Genomic DNA, 7577 nt, shown 5'->3' on the forward strand with positions numbered 1-7577 from the left:
AGTAGACATGGGCAAATCTAAAGAGATCTCAAACATATGTAAAAGCCCTCTTTCCTTGTTTTAATATTTTATAGACGGTAGCAACTTTAACATTAAAATCTAGAATTATTTCCAAAGGAAATCATAATTATTTGAAAGCAGGAAAACTTGGGATAAACTTGCATCGACAAAATAAGGTAATTAAAAGTAAGAAAATAATTTAAATCTAATTTCATCCCTTTCTTAAATGCTCATTAAGGATTATGTCAATTAAATGGATACTGTGATAGTAGGTGTTGTGCAAATAAAAGATGAACTGAAATAATTTGGGAGATTTAACTGGCAAGTTATCAACCATAAAGAAAGCCTCTGAAATTTGTTTTAATAGTTTTCTGAGCTGTTGAGCTTTCTAAAGAGAGAAACTTTAATAAATTGTATAGATTCTTGTCCAAACCCCTCATGTTATGGCTAGCCATAAAATTGTTACTCTTTTTTTAAAAATTAATGACTCCATTATTTTCAGATTTCTCTGTGTATCAAACAGTTTCTTTAAATAAATGTCAAGTTTTATTAGAGACTTTCTGGTTGTATCTCCTTAACAACACATTGAATGAGAACAAATAATCAAGTCCTATGTACCCTTAAGCTTTGGAGGAACCCAGAAAGAAGGCAGAAAAGGGGAAGGGATGGTGCTGTTCACCAGCTAGGTGTGTACTTTCAAGCAAGTCAAGACACTCTTATGATTTTGCTTTCTCGTCTACAAAGTGTAGATTTAGCCAAGCCTGTCTCTCAGGATTATTTCCTATTTCAATTAAGCATTAAATATTTGAAAAGTGTGATCCTAGGCACTGAGGTTGCATGGTAAATAAGACAGACATAATTTTCTGCTTTTTTAAAGCTTATATTCTAGTGGAAGAGAGAGAAAATGCATAATTAAATAAATAAATGTATAGAATGTCATATTCTATTAAGAAAAATACATTAGGGCAAAAGATCAAGAATATGATTTCACCACATATAGTGACCAAGGAAAATGTCTCTGAGAAAATGACATATACCTAACCTATCAAATGTAATTACAGATGTTAAAAAAATAGAGGATTGGAAATCCTTATATATGCAGACAAGAATACTATAACCCTACTTTTTAGCTGAAAAATATCAAAAGAAAAGTAGAATTTATTTGAAGTTCACCCTTAAGTTCAGTCAGCTAGGATAGAATGACAAGATACTGTGTTGTACTTCAAAATATAGCCCCTACAAATACTTAAAAGTCAAACAAAAAAACAGCCCCAGGGCTTGTTGCAATAGTGTTGTCATCCATCTCTCCGAACATTTCAGGGAGATTGCAAACTGAAACAGACTCTCTCCACTGTACAAGAAACAGAGTTACTCTAAGAGAATATATGAATGTTGTTTCACACAGGGGCCTGATGGCTGGTAGTGACAGCTTGGAACAGTTTATTGAGAAGGGGAAAGTGCCTATGTGGGCTCCATTAGTGATGTATGCCCTGGGTGTTTGTTAGGGAGATGAATGGTGCCTGACAGACCTTTATTTCCCATTGCTACTCTATAATATCTGTTTAATGCCTATGCTGTCTCTCAGAGAAAATCTTGCACTTCCCCTTGGCACAATTACACCTATTAAACAAATATTGTGTAAAGTAAAAAAAAAAAAAACAAAAAACTCTATCACTCAGAAGCATCACCTTTTTTTTTCCACTGAAAACAGCCTCCCTCTCACCATCCTTATTATAGATGCAAAGCCTCTTTTGTGATAGGGATGTATAATGGTAGCATCTCGGTGGGATTAAACAGTACCCTGTGGCTGCCAATAGTCAAGTAGCTTTGCTGATGGTTGCATTGTAATTATCTATTTGCTTCTCTCTCTGATCTCTGGACTGGACTTACTGACAAAGGAAAATATGTCCTTCTGTATTCCAAGTGGTCAGCACACCACCATAAGCACTTAACAAATATTTGATGAATGAAAACATGAAGAGCTGCCATAGAAGTTATCCCTCTGAATGTATGCTGGTGGTGGGAAGAGGAGGAGTTTTCATCATTTTTCTAAACATGATTGCAGCTGCTTTGAGAGCAATCCAAGAATATGATTTGCCATACAAGACTAATCAGGAAATTCCTTTTATGATCTCATTTTCAGACAGATTAAATATAACTGGCAAGCACAAACTCAGCGTGTAATATCCCATAGGCACTGCAATTGTGAATCCAAGTAGTTTCAAACAAGCACCCAGTAGACAGCCGGCTGCTCTGTTCATTATCAGGAACAAATGCTGAGCCTTTAGATAGTTTGTCTAGATCCCGGGAATCACAGGCCCAAAGAAGCGTCATAAAGAACACAAATTGGCTCAGACACAACGTCTAATGTAGTCCCCTTTAAATTCAAAATACTTTCCCGTTTAATGACAGTTGAAAAATTTAATACATTTGCTTCTATTCTCCCAAAATATTACATTAATTTTATGTGTTTTGTTTTTAATTCTTTGTTCATGCTTCAGTTATCTTACTTCCATTTTGGCACACAAATTACCATTTTAAATGAATAATTCTAGAGTGAGTCAACTTTTTATAATATGAATCTGGTACCCTTATTTCATCAGTTTAAGGTTTTCCTTTTGTTAATAAACCAAATTTGTGTTACTCCATTCCTTCCTTCTGTTTTACTGTGGGGAGTCCTGTTTTTCTGTTTACTTATTTGTTCCTAAAGTCACTGTTGTTAAGTACATACTGGACTAATAAGAGGATCCTCTCATGTTACAAACCTGTCCTCGGTAAGGGGTCCTCTGTTCGAAATGGCCTCTGTCCACTTTTTCCAAAGGTCTCTGCTCTTTTCATTAGCTGCCTTCTTAAGTTTGTGGACATGCATCCTCCCTCCGGCTGCTACTGTTTGTATCAACTATGCTCAATGATCTTTGTTTTTAACGCCTGTAATAACAGCTGAGACCAGATGGCAAATTGTGGTAAAACAGTATTATAGATTTAGATACAAGCAAAGAGAAGTACAACATAAAATAGAAATAATTTAACATTTCTAATAAATCCTGCATGTCCAACCCTACTTCCGTGGGGATTCTATTGAGAGCAGGGCCGTTTCCTTGTAACATTTGTCAGCTTTTTCCCCATTCCCAATAGCAATGGTGGTGACAATGCTTTACAGAAGAGTGTCTCCATGCCTGCCTTTTACAGCCGCTTTCCTTAGTTGTAACATCTTGGACCCTGACCCTTTCCTAGATACCATTGTTAACAGTAAAATACCCACTTTTTCAGAGAAAAAAAAAAAAAAGCATTATCAATCCACAAGAGTATGGTCTTGTCTAATAACATCCGAAAGAGATCAACTGCTCTCAAATAAAACAAGACAACATCAGTACTTTTAGAATTTTCTGCCTTATATACCATTTTGTGCATAGTATATGGAGAAAATATCAACAGCCTTATCCTGTTTGAGATTGATGACATCCGGTTTGTTCATGTCCTTATTTGATTAGTTTTCCTGTCTTTTTTTATAGGACTCATATTCTTTCATATTTTTCCTTTCTCTTGGCTTTTATCTTTTGACCATGTTATAACTCCACTTTCCCAAATCCCAATGGACAAGTAATTTGGAAAAAGTATTTGTGGAACAAGTAACTTGGAAACAGTACCATCTAAATTCTCCTTAGGAAAAGTACCACTACTTCCAAATGAGCAACAAAGGAGCAAGAGATGCTTCAGAAACATATTCTTCTCTCATCATTCCTATTCAACCTAGTATCAGAAATTAGCTAGTAGAATAGGAAATAAAATAAACTAGAAAAGAAAATATAAAACTCTTTCTTTTTGTAGATGTTGTTATTGGTTATTGTCTACATAGAAAATCCAAACGAATCCACAAAAAAGCTCTAAAGTCTGGTAACTGCTGTGGAAAATCACATAATAAAAGACCAATATATTAAAATCAATTTAACTTCTGTATACTAGCTGGTTGCTGGTATTTCAATTTTATTTCAACTGGAAATTGAGATAATAATGAAACAGTACCACTTATAATAGTACCCCCCCAAAAAATCCTTGGATATTACATTAACAAGTATTTTATAGATTTGTATGGTAAAAATTATGCAAGTCTTACAGAAAAAATAAGGCTTAAACAATTGAGAGATAAATAGTATCCATGTATTGAAAGGATCAGCGAGGTGCCAAGATGGCTAACTAGAAGCATCTAGTGCACACCACTCTCACAGAGAGAAAGGAGAGAAAGGAGAGAGAGAGTGGCGAGTAAACAGTAGCTTTTTAAGTGGATCATTGACTAGGCCATGTTGGGATGCACCAAGGAAGCAATAGCAGCTAACAAAGAGCAGGAAAGAGCAAGGCAAGACAGCCACCTCCCTAGGATTGGTGCATAAGCAAGGAAGGTTTCCCATCACAGGGAAAGGGTGAGTGAGTGAGAGCCCTGGGGGATTTACACTTCTGCCAAGGACCTTTGCAATCCTGGGCACAGGAAATCCCGCTACCCTCACCCCTGGGGCCTCCAGACCGACACAGAGAGCTGCATGGAGTCTGGGCAGAGCTGCTGCCTAGGATCATGTGGAACCCCAAGGGTCTTAGATCCTTAAGCACCCCAGCACCAGCTGCTATAGCTCTGCCAACAAGCAAGGCTAGGCTCTCTCACATACCCCCAGGATAGGAGCTGCATCCATGTTGCCAAGGAGCAGACAGAAGAAAGGCCTTGCCTCTGCTGTACCTCACCAGGCAAGGCCCACTGTCCTTGGACCCCAGGGTGGCCACCCTACCCCTACCTGAGCATTTGAGTTGGTTGGAGCTCTGCATTTCTCAAGGACAGAGCTCCCAGAGGTAACTGATAGGCCTGCAGTGTTTGCACTGCTGAGGCCCCTGCCCTTGCTGCCCTCAGGCAGGGAAGGAAGCAAAGAGCCCAAGAACTTTCTTGGGCCTCCAGCGTGCTGCATACAGAAAAGTGGCCAGTCTCTTTTCTTTGTAGGTCCCTGTGCCTGCTGTTCCTCACTGGGCAGGACCTCCCAACCTGGGCCCCTAGTGCAGCTGCTCTAGCCCCACCTGATCACTTCAGTCAGTGATGGCTCTGCAATACTCTGGGGTGAAATTCCCAGAGAACTCTGACAGGATCTCTGTCATTGTCACTGCAGCAATACCCACCCTTGCTGCCCTTGGACTGGGAAATAAAGAAAGACCCTGATCACTTTGCTTATACCTCTAGCATGCTATAGCTACCATACAGAGGGGAGGCCAGACTCTTTAATTTGTGAGTCCCTGGACCCTGCTCTTCACCAGGCAAGTCCCCTGGTTTGGATCCCGCAGTGCAACTGCCCTACCTCTGGTTGAACATCCCCACTGGCAGTGGATTTGTGTCTCTCTAAGGTGGAGCCAGAAGCAACTGACAGCCCCTCTGCCATTGCCACTGTCCAGGTTACTGACCCTGCTGCCCCCAAGATGGGGAGGGAACAAAAAGCCTGAGATCACCCAAGAGCTGCAGTGTGCAGCCTGAGTGCCAGGCTTGAATGGAAGAGGAGCCCACACTTTCAGAGCACTGAGAAGTAGCACAGTTGCAAATGCAAGAAAGTATTACACATAGGAACCACGAAGCTGAGTAAGAGCCTACCTACTGCCTATTACATTTAAGCACCATCTACTGAATTAAATCTCAAACTATAACACCAAAAATAATTTGCTAATATCCCTTCCTGTGAAAAACAACATCAAGATTTCAGCCACAATAAAGACCCTGCAAAAAACCTTTGCCCTCTGAAAACATCCAGAAATGAAGCCAAATGACTGTACTCAATTTATAATTACAGTTAAAAGAACATCAGCTCACACACATGAAAAAGAACCAGCATAAGAACTGTGGCGACTCTAAAAGCCAGAGTGTCTTCTGACCTCCATACACCACACTGGTTTCCCCACAATGATTCTTAACATGAATGAAATGGCTGAAATGACGCCATAGAATTCAGAATCTGGATGGCAATGAAGATCATTGACATTAAAGAAAGTGCTGAAATCCAACTCAAGAAATCTAAGGAATTTAATAACACAGTTCCAGACATGAAAGACAAAACAGCGTTTTTAGGAAAGAACAAAACTGATCTGATAGAGCTGAAAAACTCACAACAAAAATTGCATAATACAACTGGAATTATTAACACCAGCATGGACCAAGCTGAGGAAACAATCTCAGATCTTGAAGACCCTTTGAATCAACTCAATCAGACAAAAATAAAGAGAAAAAAATTTGTAAGTGAACAAAATGTCTTGGAAATATGGGATTATATAAAGAGACCAAACATACAACTCATTGGCATCCCTGAGAGAGAAGGAGAGAGACCAAATAACTTGTAAAATGTATCTGAAGATATGGTCCACAGAAATTTCCCTAACCTCATGAGAGGTAGACTCTCACATTCCAGAAATTCAGAGAATCCCTGAGAAATATGATAAAAGATTGACAATCCCAAGACACATAGTCATCAAATTCTCTAAAGTCAATGCTAAAGAAAAAATATTACAGACAGCTTGAGAGAATGGGTAGGTTACCTACATAGGGAACTCCACCACGCTAACAGTGAACCTTTCATCAGAAACGCTACAAGCCAAAATAAAATGGGTGGTTGTATTCAGCATTTTTTTTAAAAGACATCCAATAAAGAATTTTATACATAGCCAAACTAAGCTTCACAAGCAAAAGAGAAATAAAATCCTTTTCAGATAAGCAAATGTTGAGGGAAATCATTACCACCAGACCTGCCCTATGAGTCATTGTTAAGAAAGTTCTAAACATGGAAATGAAAGATCATTACCTTTCACCTCAAAAACATACTGAAGTACATAGACCATTGAGATTGTAAAGCAAACTACACAATCAAGCCTACATAACAGTCAGCTTACAACATAATGACTGGATCAAATCTGCACATACCAGTATTAACCTCAAACATAAATAGGCTAAACACCCCCCTTAAAAGGCACAGAGTGGCTAGGTAGATCAAGAAGCAAGACTTAAATATGTGCTATCCTCAAGAGACTCAGCTCATATGCAAATGACACTCATAGGCTCAAAGTAAAAAAAAAAAAAATGGATAAACAACTATCAAGGAAACAGAAAACAAAAAAGATTTGTTAGTCTCATTTCAGACAAAACAAACTTTAAACCAAAAATGATCAAAAAAGACAAAGAAGGACAGAAGGATATAATATAATGATAAGTAGTTCAATTCTTCAAGAAGACTTAACTGTCATAAATATACATGCCCCTGGCACTGGAGCACCCAGATTTGTAAAACAGGTTCTTAGAGACCTATAAGATACTTAGATACTTAGAGTGCAAAATTTTAACACCCCACTGATACCATTAGACAGATCAGTGAAGCATAAAACTAGTAAAGATATTTGGCACCTAAACTCAACACTTGACTAAATAGATCTAACAGACATCTACAGAACCCTACACTCAACAACAACAGAATAAATATTCTTCTTATCTGCAAATGGCACATACTCTAAAATCAACCACATGCTTGGCCATAATTCAATTATCAACAAATTTAAAAAAAACTAAAATC

Source organism: Homo sapiens, chromosome 11 (genome assembly GCF_000001405.40).
Source record: "Homo sapiens chromosome 11, GRCh38.p14 Primary Assembly".
Lineage (NCBI taxonomy): Eukaryota > Metazoa > Chordata > Mammalia > Primates > Hominidae > Homo > Homo sapiens.